Below are 13,895 nucleotides of genomic sequence, written 5' to 3'. Positions count from 1 at the left end.
AAGTTTGGACTTTAGAATGAGGACAGTGGGGATTCAATGCAGTCTGAAAGGGAATAATACATCTCAGCATTTGCATTTTAGAAATGCAGTTCTCTGACTGTAGCATAGAAAGTGATGTGACAAGAAGCACAGTTGGAAACAGGATGCTCAGTAAGGGGCTGCTGGAGTGACCCAGGCAAGAGATGCTGGGGGCCCCACAGTGGGGCTGGAGCAGAGTGGACAAATTCAAGAGCTATCCAGGAGGCAGAATGAACAAACCTGGTGTTGAATTGGATGTGAAGAGTGAGGGAGAGGAAAGAGCAAGGGATGACTCCTGGATTTCTGACTGTAGTGATTTGAGTTGATTGAGCCTGGAGACACCATATCTAAGACAACCAATATATCTTTTTGTGTTTTTTGAGATGGAGTCTCGCCCTGTCGCCCAGGCTGGAGTGCAGTGACTCGATCTCGGCTCACTGCAAGCTCCATCTCCCAGGTTCACGCCATTCCCCTGCCTCAGCCTCCCAAGTAGCTGGGACTACAGGCGCCCACCACCATGCCCGGCTAATTTTTTTTTTGTATTTTTAGTGGAGATGGGGTTTCACCATGTTAGCCAGGATGGTCTCGATCTCCTGACCTCGTGATCCACCTGCCTCGGCCTCCCAAAATGCTGGGATTACAGGCATGAGCCACCACACCCGGCTAAGACAACCAATACATCTTTACTGAATTAAAAAAATTAAGGCTAGGCTACAAATAAGGTACAAGGGCACAATCTGTAGGAGGAGAATAGGGTTGACTATACGTCTTTTAAAGAACTCTCTTGGCCAGGTGCAGTGGCTCATGCCTGTAATCCTAGCACTTTGGGAGGCCAGCGCGGGTGGATCACCTGAAGTCAGGAGTCTGAGACCAGCCTGGCCAACATGGTGAAACCCCATCTCTACTAAAAAATACAAAAATTAGCTGGGCGTGGTGGCACGCACCTGTAATCCCAGCTACTCGGGAGGCTGAGGCTACAGAATCATTTGAACCCAGGAGTCAGAGGTTGCAGTAAGCTGAGATCGTGCCACTCCAGCCTGGGTGACAGAGAAAGACTCTATTTCAAAAAAAAAAGAACTCTCTCAGTGACCTCAAGCCTCAGTCAACTCAAGTGCAGCTAGGGAATGAGTCTTACCCCTCCAGCCTGCTGTCCATGAGACCTTGAGCTTTGGAGACACTCCCCTGGGTGAAGGAGTACTCCTCTGTGGCCCCACCCAGGCCCTCTACAATCTCCCCACCCCAGCTCTCTTTCTTCCCTGTCATGGCTCCCCATCTGGGCATTTCATGCACTGTGGAGAGTGAGGGTTACCAGTGTTAGATCCTGGAGGCTGGCAAGCCATGCTCCATGGAAATGCTTCTGCAAATCCTTCAGGATAGTCTCTGTCTTTTGTTTCACACCTTCAATCCAAAAACAACAATTAAGGGGCAGGGCCTTAACAGGGAAATAGGAACACACCCTTCTTTATTTCCCCTCCAAACCTCAGAGAAGATCAACAGAGTGAAATGGGTGAAATAACATTTGCTCAACAGAATGGGAAGAGTTCCCCAGCACCAGGCCAATGGGTGGAGGGAGAATGTGGCTGGGGACTCAGTCTGGTCCTTGCAGCTGTTCCTGCGCCGTGCCAGAATGTGGACTGTTCTACCCGTGGGTGCTGAGCAAATGCCCTTATAAGAAGTATGCCCTGTTGAACCATGAGAAGTCAGAGTTTCTGAAACTCCTTTTAGGGATATTTGCAAATCCTTCTGGCACCTCTGTAAGCGTGTGTGACTCTTTGTATTTTTTGTTTTCCTTGAGCAAAGAGGGTCTCAATCTGGCACTCCCAAATTTGTTCCCTAAGAAAAGATGTTCATTTTCCCAGTCTTAGGCCTAGCAGTAAGGCTGAGACCACTGAGAAATATTGAGTATCCAAGTTGATTCCACAGGTGGCTGCAAGCCTAGCTCCCCTTTTCCCCGAGAATCTCTTAGAATCTCTTACAAGAGGGCATTGCATCAGCAATGGGGTTGGAGCTCATCCAGATAAAGTTTCCAGATCTACTTGTAATGGGGATCCCTCATCTTGGGGCATCATAGCATATTTACTCCATTGCCCTCATGAGAAGGAACTGCCCTTCATCGTGTGCCTGACACAATGTGGGCATTCAGTGAATGGTGCTTATATGCTCTTGTTATTCATGGGTCCCCACGGCTGTAGCCCAGTGGCCACTCAGGCTCATGTTGCTTACTTCTCTGAAACACAAGGATTTTGAACAGGTAATGCAACGCCTCTGATGCCTCTATGCTGATCTCGTGGTTGCAGCCCATGACGAACAGGCCGAAGATGCTCATCAGTTTCCCACTCATTGAGAATTCCTCCATGTGCTGCCCAGAAGAGGAAACTGGTTAACTCCCCATCACCCCAAAAGGAAATTCCCCATACTGTGGCCACCATCCCTCTCCAACCTCCCCACCCCTCTACACCACTAAATCATTTGCCTGCAGGTATCCCCTCACCACACCAGCTCCACACTCTTTCCCTGCCCAAGAAAACCTTTCAAAGCAGCACCCAGGGAAATGGGGCAGCCAGATCCCTAAAATATGTTAGCCAGTGGGAAGCTGTGGACCCAACCCAGCTGTTTAGGCCAAGGTCCCCCAACAAGGCTGAGATGTGTCCAGCCAATTGAAACTCACTTGGCCAAGGGCAAACCAAGCAAACAAGTTAAGCCTCTTCCCCCATAGGAACAGAAAAGGCACTAATGCAAAAAAAGAGGGACACTCTGACCACCCACCCCCCAGTAACCCCCTGCAGAACCACAGACTCTCAGGTACCCCATGTGCAGAGAAGCAGGGCCCACTGGGTCAGCCTTTCCCCCCACTCCAAGCACTCACTGACAGTTCGGGAAAATTGCAAATAAACCTCAGCAGCCAGGAAATAGTGCCCAAGGCCCGCATCTGTTCATACACTTTGTCTGACAGTAATGACCAAGGTATGATGATCCGGAAAAGGAGTAAAGAGACCTTGTGAACCCCTTCTGTGGGAGTGCTGCTCCCTTCCTTCTCAATTCCACATCTCTGACTGCTAAAAAGACAAAAAGGAGGGAGTTGTGCCAGGCACCAGAGCACACGGCCCCATGAACTTGGCAAAGCAAAGGTGGGTTTAGGAGTCTCCGGGGCTATACAAAAAATTAGCTGGGTGTGGTGGTACATGCCTGTGGTCCCAGCTACTCGGGAGACTGAGGCAGCAGAATGGCTTGAACCTGGGAGGCGGAGGTTGCGGTGAGCTGAGATCGCACTACTGCGCTCCAGCCTGGGCAACAGAGTGAGATTCTGTCTCAAAAAAAAAAGTCTCCGGGGCTTCACCTGCTACCTTCTGGGTCTCTTCTGACAGGAATGTTTAAAGACAGTGCTGTGCCTTAGATGTAGAATTACAAAGCAGTGGGTAAGCAGGAATGGGATAAGATGGGGAGACAGGGCTCTCTTGGTGGCATATCCATGCAAACCCCTACCTGCTAGGCCAGGGGAAGGGGTAAAGTGGTCTCTGAAGGATGAGATTCAGAGCCATTCATTTCTGGAGGTTAATAATCATAGTGACACAGGTAAGTATTCTGAATAGAATAATGCACTCTATCCTCCCATAACAACACTTCCCTGTAAGTGTTATTATTACCACACTAGGTTGAGATCCCACCAGGGAAGACAGGCCTGTGTCCTGCTTGCTACAAACTTTTGGGAAAGTGTGTCCCGTATCATAGCTGCTGGACAGGTGTCCTTCAGGGTAGCCTTTCTCCCAGAGCATTGAACCCCATCATGGACATCCATGTGCCAAAAAAAGAAAAATGAACTACAACGTGTACCTGACCGTCCAATACACAAGTTAATTCAGAATTGACCACAGACTTAAAATCTAGAATGATAAGATTCTAGAAGAAAATGAGAAAATACTTAAGGGAGGCAAAAATTCCTATAACCATAAAAAAAAATAATGACTTGGACTTCATCAAAATGAATAACTACCTGCTCTTCAAAAGATACTGTTAAGAGTGGCCAGGGCTGGGTGCAGTGGCTCACGCCTGTAATCCCAACACTTTCGGCGGCTGAGGTGGGTGCGTCACCTGAGGTTAGGAGTTCAACACGATGTGGGCATTCAATGAATGCCCAGCCAATATGGTGAAATCCTGTCTCTGCTAAAAATACGAAAATTAGCTGGGTGTGGTGGCACATGCCTGTAATCCCTGTTATTCAGGAAGCTGAGGCAGGAGAATTGCTTGAACCGGGGAGGCAGAGGTTTAGTGAGCTGAGATCATGCCACTGCACTCCAGCCTGGGCGACAGAGTGAGACTCCGTCTCAAAAAAAAAAAAAAAAAAAAAAAAGACACTGTATAAAATCAGGCCACAAAATGGGAGAAAATGTCTGCAAATCACATATCTGACAAAATATTTATATCCAGAATATACAAAGAGCTCTCAAGGCTGGGCGTGGTGGCTCACACACTTGTAATACCAGCACTTTGGGAGGCCAAGGCAGGAGGATTGCTTGCACCCTGGAGCTCGAGACCAGTATGGGCAACATAGGGAGACCATAGCTCTACATAAACTTTTTCTTTTTTTTTTTTTTGAGACGGATTCTCGCTCTGTCGCCCAGGCTGGAGTGCAGTGGCATGATCTTGGCTCACCGCAACCTTCTCCCCCCAGGTTCAAGAGATTATCCTGCCTCAGCCACCTCAGTAGCTGGGATTACAGGCATATGCCACCACACCTGGCTAAGTTTTGTATTTTTAGTAGAGATGGGGTTCTGCCACATTGGCCAGGCTGATCTTGAACTCCTGACCTCAAGTGATCCACCCGCCTCAGCCTCTCAAAGTGCTGGGACTGCAGGCATGAGCCACTGTGCCTGGCCCATAACATTCAAAAATTAGTGGAGCATGGTGGCGCACACCTATGGTCCTAGCTACTCAGGAGCCTGAGGTGGGAAGGTCTCTCGGGGAGGTTCGAGGCTGCAGTGAGTAGTGATGGTGTCACTGCTCTCCAGCCTGGGCAACAGAGTGAGATTCTATCTCAAATAAAATAAAATAAAATAAAATAAAATAAAATAAAATAAAATAAAATAAAATAAAATAACCCTCAAACCCCCAAATAAGAAAACAACCCAATAAAAAAATGGGCAAAAGATTTAAATAGACGCTTCATCAAAGCAGATATGTAGATGGCAAATAAGACTATGAAAACGTGCCCAACATTAGTCACTAGGAAACGCAAGTTAAAACCACAAAGAGATACCACTACACATCTATAAGAATGACTAAAAGGAAACACTAGCAATACCACATGCTGGCAGGGATGCAGAGCAACTGGGACTCTTACACATTGCTAGTGGAAGTGGAAAATGGCCACTTGGGAAAACACTTTGGAAGTATCCCCCCTCCTTTTTTTTTTTTGAGAGGGAGTTTTGCTCTTGTTGCCCAGGCTAAGGTGCAATGGCGCAATCTCGGCTCACAGCAATCTCCGCCTCCTAGGTTCCAGCGATTCTCCTGCCTCAGCCTCCCAAATAGCTGGGATTACAGGCATGTGCCACCACGCCCGGCTAATTTTGTATTTTCAGTAGAGATGGGGTTTCTTCATGTTGGTCAGGCTGGTCTCAAACTCCCAACCTCAGGTGATCCACCCTCCTCGGCCTCCCCAAGGGCTGGGATTACAGGCGTGAGCCACCACGCTGGGCTGGGAAGTATCTTATAAAGTGAAACATCCACATGCCATAAAACACAGCAGTCCCACTCCAAGAAATTTACTCAAGTGAAATACAAACCTATGTTCATACAAAAGCCTGCACACAAAGATTTATAGAAGATTCATTTGTAATCATCCCAGTCTGGAAACAACCCCAAAGTTCCTCAACTGGAAAATTAATGCACAAACTGTGATCCATCTACTCAATTAAAAAATAAAAAGAAACAAAATACTGATACACATAACAACATGAATAAATCTCAAATGCATTATGCTAAATGAAAGAAGACAGACTCCAGAGACTGCCTACTGGATAATTCTACTTAGATGTCTTTTTTTTTTTTTTTTTTTTTTTTTTTGAGACAAGGTCTCCCTGTATATTGCCCAGGCTGGAGTGCAGTGGCACTGTCACAGCTTACTGCAGCCTCGACCTCCTGGGCTCAGGTGATCTTCCCACCTCAGCCTCCCAAGTAGCTGGGACCACAGGTACATACCACCACGCCTGGATAATTTTTTTATTATTTGTAGAGATGGGGGTCTCACTGTTGCCCAGGCTGGTCTTGATCTCCTGGGCTCAAGTGATCCTCCCAAAGTGCTGGAATTACAGGCATGAGCCACTGTACTCAGCCTTAGATAACATTTTAATTATTTTATTTATTTAGTTTTGAGATAGGGTCTCACTTTGTTCCCCAGGCTGGAGTACTCAGCCTTAGATAACATTTTTAATTATCTTAATTAATGAATTAATTATTTTCGAGACAGGGTCTAGCTTTGTTGCCCAGTCTGGAGTGCGGTAGCATGATCACAGCTCACTGCAGCCTCAACCTCTAGGCTTCAGGCGATCCCCTCACCACAGCCTCCCAAGTAGCTGAGACAACAGGCACACACCACATGCCCAGCTAATATATTTCTTTTATTTTTAGTAGAGATGGGGTCTCATATGTTGCCCAGGCTGGTCTCAAACTCCTTGGCTTAGGTGATCCCCCTACCTCGCCCTCCTGAAGTGCTGGGACTATAGGCATGAACCACTGCACCTAGATGACATTTTAGAAAAGGCAAAACTATAGGGACAGGAAACAAATCAGCCATTGCCAGGGATGGGGAATGGGGAAGGGGTTGACCATAGAGTCATGGGGGAATTGGGGGGGTGATAGAACTGTTCTATAGCTTAATTGTGGCTGTAGTTACAGGACTGCATGCATTTGTCAAAACCCACAGATCTACACACTAAAAGCTGAATTATACTATATGTAAATTATACCTTAATTTTAAAACGGAAAAAAAGAAGACAAAAGAAAAAGGAGGGCCCTTAAGAAAACCATATAGCCCTCAAATTCGACCTTTCTGATCCAGCTCTGCAAAGTCAAATGTGAAATAAATGATGTTGTATTATGCTATCATGTCATTTTGTAGGAAAAATATGTCTAAAATATATACACACTTGACTGAGAATTACCTCAAAGTAGCAAAAATACATTTTGTTCGCATAAAAATAACTTATTTTTATACTTTTAATTTTATTTATCAAGATAAATTGATTCCTCCACTATTTTATACAAAATGTTGGAACCTGTTTCAGGTGGTAATTTTGCAGGGCATCATTTATCTTTGGATAATGAGAACCCCAGTAATGGATCTCTTGAAGACTGTACCCTGACCAGGACCAAAGTTTTGCATCTCTGTTCCCCCACAGACTCCAAGAACAACAGAACATTTGTTCTTACATTTATAGCAAGGTTGCCTAAAAAGCACAAAAATCCTTCTCAACAAACATACCAGAGATGATACATTCCAAAAGAACTATGTCACTCATCCAAATGTGGACAAATTTCCCTCTAGCTAAAGCCCTTGTCAAGGTCTTTTTGGGTTTTTGGGGGGTTTTTTTTGAGACGGAGTTTCACTCTTGTTGCCCAGGCTGGAGTGCAATGGCCTGATCTCAGCTCACTGCAACCTCCTCTTCCTGGGTTCAAGAGATTCTCCTGCCTCAGCCTCCCGAGTAGCTGGGATTACAGGTGCCCACCACCACGCCCAGCTAATTTTTTTGTATTTTTAGTAGAGACGGGGTTTCACCATGTTGGCCAGGCTGGTCACAAACACCTGACCTCAAGTGATCCACCCGCCTCGGCCTCCCAAAGTGCTGGGATTACAGGCGTGAGCCACTGCACCTGGCCTTGTCAAGGTCTTTTTATAAGATGCCTGGGCAATCTTGTCTCCTTCTTTGTAGTCACACCTAATGCTTTATGCAAAATTTTATTACCGTAATTGATTACCATCGTGTTCATGAAAGTCGGTTTCAAGTGATTCTTGGCTGTTTCCCCAACTCAACTACCCTCAGGAGATAACAATTTGTCATAACTAAGAATATTTGAAACGCTCTGAAGCTCTAAAGACAGTTAAAGAAGTACAATGAGTCTCTGGTGGGGATTACATTAAGGGATATAAGAGTAGCCTGTGGTTAAGCACTGAGGTCTTCTTTATCACAGAGCAATGGCAGATGCTGCAAAAGGGGAAAATACTTTGAAGATTAAAGTCTGGCACAGATATAAATGTTATTACCATCGAAGCCCCAATATGTCCAAGTCCTGGGCAGAAATGGGTCCTCAGCTTAGTGGGCTATGTTTCCAAAACTGTGATCCTCAAAATGGTATTTCGTGGGAGATACAGAAATTTGTCTTCAAGTGATGTTTATGCATGCTGAGGCTTGAGAACCGATGGTCTTTGGACTAGAATGACACCTAGGCTATCCTGATATTCTTTTCCTTTCCTCCCAAACATACTAGAATTAATATGGACTTTCAGTTTCCTTGATTTCCACAGCCACTTACCTCCAGGAAGTTTTGTAGTATGAGCATGTTAGGGTTCATCCTGTCCATCACAAGAGCCTGCAACATGTTGTCTAAGGCCTGGACCCTCTGACAAGTGAAGAGACAGGGAGTGTCCAGAACAGACTGCCACAGTGCCAGCTCGGCTCCCTGGGGGCACTCCATCTCCTTGTCCCCTACCTCTGGAGGAAGGAAGTGGGGCCAGCCTGGCTCTGCCACCCCCGGCAGTCTCTCTCTCATGGCCAGCCACACTCTGATCTTCCTTGGTGCTGACTTTTCTTGGTCTCAATGAAGACTGGACCAGGTCCAGCCCAAATTGTGAGCCCATTGGTGAAATGTAGGCATTGGGCCATTCTCCCCAAGAAAGCCAGATCCCGTGGGACTCTCCGCATTAGATTCATTCCGCTAGGTCCAGGACACATCTATTTTTAAAACTACAAAGGCTGAGGTGGGAAGATAGCTTGAGCCCCGGAGGTTGAGGCTGCAGTGAGCTATGATTGCACCACTATACTCCAGCCTGGGCAACAGAGTGAGACCCCGTCTCAAAATTTAAAAATTAAAAATGAAATAAAAAATTAGAGGCCCCTGGGAAGATTTGGCAGTCTACTGGTCAGTTGCTCCACAGTATCTGTGGGTTTTATTATCAGACTGTCTCCTCCCGTGACTGAGGCTGCTGTGAGCCTTAGTGAACAAGGACATGGATAGGGTGGGAGCATGGGCCAATCCCTGGAAAGACAGGTGAGGGTACGACAGCTGGAGTGCTTCTTAGCAGCCCCAGGAACATGGGGCCAAGAGCTCTGCAGAGAGGTCAGAGCAGGAGAAAGGAGGGAGAGTTAAAGGGCAAGAGGTGACTCCAAAGACAAAACCTCCCCGTGGAGCTCTCCATGAAGAGGTGGGGATTACCTGGAGGTAGAGACTCGCATTGTCTCTTCGGTACAGGCTGGGCACGATAGGCGGCAGAGAGAACAGGCTGGAGACGCCCACATTTACCAGATCCAGTTTCTGGGACAAGTGGAATGGTGGATTCACCTGACTGCAGGGAGAGGCAGGGAATGACAAGCGGCTTTGGGGTCCCTGGGAGAGACTGGGACCCTCTGGGAGAATGTGCTCTGCTGCTGTTTCTGAGATGCAGGAAACAGTGGGGATCTGAGCCCCCAAACACTTTCTAATAGCCTCTCCTCCAGGGAAGGAGGGCCTGGGTTGCTAGGGAAGCTTCCCTCACTGGACGTCTTAATAGGCTTCCAAAAGTACAATTGGAGAACACCCCCTCCACCCAAGGATGCAGGCAGATAAAGTGGCAGACACGGGGGCTATGCCACCCACAGGCCAAAATTTAAGTCCCCAAACCTTGCCCTTCCTCCCAACCCAAATGTTCTGAGCACAAGAGACCCAGGCGCTCTGAGGGGGTAAGAGCAGGAAAGGCACCTCAGCGCCACGATGCAGAGCATGGCTTGCTGACGCATGTTGCCCATCAAAATCTCAGTGGATTCTTCAAGAATTAGTATCTAGAAAGGCCAGGAAACAAACAAACAACAACAACAAAAAAAACAAGAACCCCCCTCAGAGAGAGATGCCAGCCCTCAGGTCCGGGACTTGTCATCCTCATCCCTGAATGACCAACTCCCAGAAGAGCTTGGGTCTTTCTCACCTCAATTTTCTTGGCCAGGATGGCTTTGGGATAGTAATCGTCCATATTGCCGTCTGCTTGGCCATGCACAGCACTACTCAAGGTTTCCACAGCTCTCAGGAACTTCAGCTTGGTGAACTCAGACTAGGACACAATACACAGATTGCTGCCCATAAGCTGGGCTTCAGCCCTTAGGCTCTGCCCACAGGCAGCACCTGAGACCTACACCCCACCCCTGCTCCTCACACCCAGCCCAGATTCCCATCAACTAGGCCAAAGGATGGATTGCTCACTTGATTTTCTCAGTGCAATGTCCCTGTCCCCAGGACTGCTGCTCACCAATGTCTGGCCACCTGTGTAGGGCTCTGGAGGACAGTGGGGCTAAGGATCTCTGACAAAGATCCTTCCTACAGGAAGGGAACTGCAAGATCTAAGCCCTAGACACCCTGTCCAGTGGCCTAGCCACCAAAGATCTGCCCAGTCACGAGGCAACAATGGGCTGAGTATCTGGTGGCTTCCAAGCCAGGGCTGGTACTCAAAACCCAAGGAGGCATAAGCCCTCTTATTTTTTTCTACTTTCCGCCTCAGTTCACACAAAGGTCCAGAGAACTTTCTTACCATATGTTCTTCTTCTAGAAAGTCCACTATGAACTCATAGGCTTCTCTTTCTGATTGGCGCAATCCTGAAAAGGGATGTAGTTGGGGGAGTTTAGCTGATTCCACCAGATGGAACAGGAAGCCAGAGTCATCCTCCCCCTCCCTTCCTGCCCACCAAGAAGGCCCAGAAGCTACCAGGGTCCCCAGAACCAGCTTCTCTAGGCCAATGGAAGCCAAAGTGGAAAGGCCATCATGTGGGGATTAGATAAGAGATTTTCAGCCGGGTGCAGTGGCTCATGCCTGTAATCCCAGCACTTTGGGAGGCCGAGGTGGGTGGATCACCCAAGGTCAGGAGTTCGAGACCAGCCTGGCCAACATGGTTAAACCCCATCTCTACTAAAAATAAAAAATTAGCCGAGTGTGGTGGCATGCACCTGTAGTCCTAGCTACTCAGGAGGCTGAGGCAGGAGAACAGGAGAATCGCTTGAACCCAGGAAGCAGAGGTTGCAGTGAGCCAAGATCGCACTACTGCACTCCAGCCTGGGCAACAGAGTGAGACTCCATCTCCAAAAAAAAAAGAAAGAAAGAAAGAAAAGAAAAAAAAGACTTTCTGCATCAGGTATGGCCCAATGGCCCGGGATGGAAAAACAATTGGGAGGAGACCTTTAAGTCACTCCCAGTGGCCACAAATTTCTAGGGCTGTCCTAGACTGACTTTGAAAGTTTTGATTGCGAATGGACTTGAAACCCCAAGTCAGCCTGGGAGGCTTCTTTGCCAACTAGACTGGCACAGCCTTCAGGGCATGCCTCTCTGAGCCTGAGGGTTGAGGCCAGGAATACAGCCTGTTTGCCCCAAGTGAAGTCGGGAGAAGGTAAAGCAAGAGGAAGGAGCTGGTGACACCACTGGGCTCCAAAGCAGCATGGGACACAGGCCTGAGTTCAAGTTGCTGCTGCCCTCTCACACTGCCCTGCAAGAAAAGCCTCTCAGAATAGGACTTGGACCCAAAGCACGGGAGCTGCACACAATGACCCTGGCACCAAACTGCATGAGTTCCAAGTTCAGCTCCTCTGCTTCATCAGCTCTGTGATCTCCAGCAAATTAAACTCTGTCAACTTTACCTTCCCCATCTGTATGACAGGGAAGATGATACTATCTGTTATTATTTGAGGATTAAATGAACAATGAGTCTTAATACATGTAAGAAGTGACCTTGAGCAAACTAAAATCCCCCAAGCTTCAGTTCTGACATCTTAACCTGGGGATGATCATCACAGTATCTATTATTGTTGTGGATTTAAATAAATTAATATGTGAAAAAAAATTAGAATGCTTCCTGGCATATAGTAGGAAATCAATGAGTGCATTCTTTAGCATACATTTATTGAGCACCTACTATGTAAAAGGACTCTCCTAGACACATCAGGGAACAAAAGAGACAATAATCTTTGCTGTCACAGAGCTTCTTACACACCAGGGAGTTCCTTCATAGGAACTACCCTTCTAAAAGAATTTTTATTTTGTATTTGCCCATTTGGGTTTGTATATACACAGAGGTCAAAGAAAATCTCATTGAATTTAAGTGGGCTTGAAGAACGTGAATGGCAAGCCATTTATATATCTGGTAAGAAAGCATTCTAAGCCAAGGCAACAGCAAGTGTGAAGGCCCAGAGGCAGGATCGTGCCTGGAAAGCTCAAGGAACAGCAAGGAAGCCTGGGTGTCTGGAATGGGAGGAGCAGGGAAGAGTGGTGGGAGGTGAAGGTAAAGCAGTAATGGGGCAGATCATGAGGGACTCGTAGCTTATTGTAAAGACAATTGGCTCTGGGGACAGGAGCCCTGGGCAGGTTTTGAATAAAAGTGGTCTGACTTTGATTAACAACAGCACTCTGGCTGTTCAGCTGAGAATAGATCAGGAGTAGAGGTGGAGAATGGCATGGGGTGTGGGCAGAAGCAAGAGACCAACTGGGAGGTTATGACAATAATACAGAGGTGAGACGGTGGTTCACACCAAGGGAGGTGGTTAGATGCAAATGATCAGATTCTGTATCCATGTTGAGGGTAGAACCAATAGGAATAGTTGATGGCTAGATGTGAGTATGAGAGAGAGAAGTCAAGAATTTTGGCCTTGAGACACTGGAAAGATTGAGTTCCCATTAACTGATGTGGGGAACAGAACAAATTTGCAGTTGGGAATAAAGTTAAGAGTTCAGTTTGGAATATATTAATTTTGAGATGTCTACTAGGCATCAAAGTGGAGATATCAATAGGCAGTCGGATGTAAGAGCCTGGAATTCCAGAACTGCAGATCTGGACTGCAGATACCAATTTGGGAATTGTTGGCATGTAGATGTTATCTAAAGATTTCTCTGCCTGGGTGCAGTGGCTCATGCCTGTAATCCTAGCACTTTGGTAGGCCAAAGTAGGAGAATCACTTAAGCCCAGGAGTTCGAGAACAGCCTGGGCAACATAGTGAGACCTCATCTCTACAAATAACCAAAAATTAGCTGGACATGGTGGCACGCACCTGTACTCCCAGCTACTTGGGAGGCTGAGGTGGGAGGACTGCTTGAGCCCAGGTCATACCTCTGCAGAGAGGTATGATGGTGCCACTGCGTTCTAGCCTGGGTGACAGAATGCGACCATGTCTCAAAAGAAAAAAAAATTATATATATATATATATATATATATATATATAGAGAGAGAGAGAGAGAGAGAGAGAGAGAGAGAGAGAGAGCGTTCTGGCTCTCCTGAACAGCTGTCAGCTAGAGGAGGTGTCACTGAAAGTCTCAGGCAATGTCTTGTTCCTGGCTCAGCTCCAGGCTTCTCAGGGAGGCAGGCCTGAAAAAGCACAGGCATGCAGAGACTAGAGCTGTGACAGGGGTAGCCAGAAGTGGGCAGATGTGTGCCCATTAGGTACACCTCAAGCGAGGGCTTGTGCAATCACCACCACTTCTGAGCACCCACAGTTAATTGAGAGACAGAACCAACTGCTCACCCGGTAAGCTGGACTTCCAAGAGATTTGTAATGTCGATGGTTCAAAGGTTACTCTGTTTGGTTTTCGCTTGTTAGAACTCGGATTCATCTGTACACTTGGGGCAGCAGCCTGCAGCTTGCGATGAGAACAGTGGGCA

General features: G+C 47.2%; 1 pseudogene across 1 annotated transcript in view; it reads right to left on the bottom strand.

Annotated features, from left to right (window-relative positions):
• The window catches only part of MROH3P (maestro heat like repeat family member 3, pseudogene), a 37,725-nt pseudogene extending 35,363 nt beyond the window's left edge, over nucleotides 1–2,362 (bottom strand). The window contains exons 1-2 of the transcript NR_147176.1: nucleotides 2,242–2,362; nucleotides 1,328–1,416 (exon numbers count right to left, since the gene is read on the bottom strand). The product of NR_147176.1 is annotated as a maestro heat like repeat family member 3, pseudogene (transcript). The remainder of the gene's footprint in view (nucleotides 1–1,327; nucleotides 1,417–2,241) is intronic.
• Nucleotides 2,363–13,895: the final 11,533 nt, after the last annotated feature.

Source organism: Homo sapiens, chromosome 1, assembly GCF_000001405.40.
Source record: "Homo sapiens chromosome 1, GRCh38.p14 Primary Assembly".
Taxonomy (NCBI): domain Eukaryota; kingdom Metazoa; phylum Chordata; class Mammalia; order Primates; family Hominidae; genus Homo; species Homo sapiens.
This window is presented reverse-complemented; position numbering and strand designations above follow the sequence as displayed.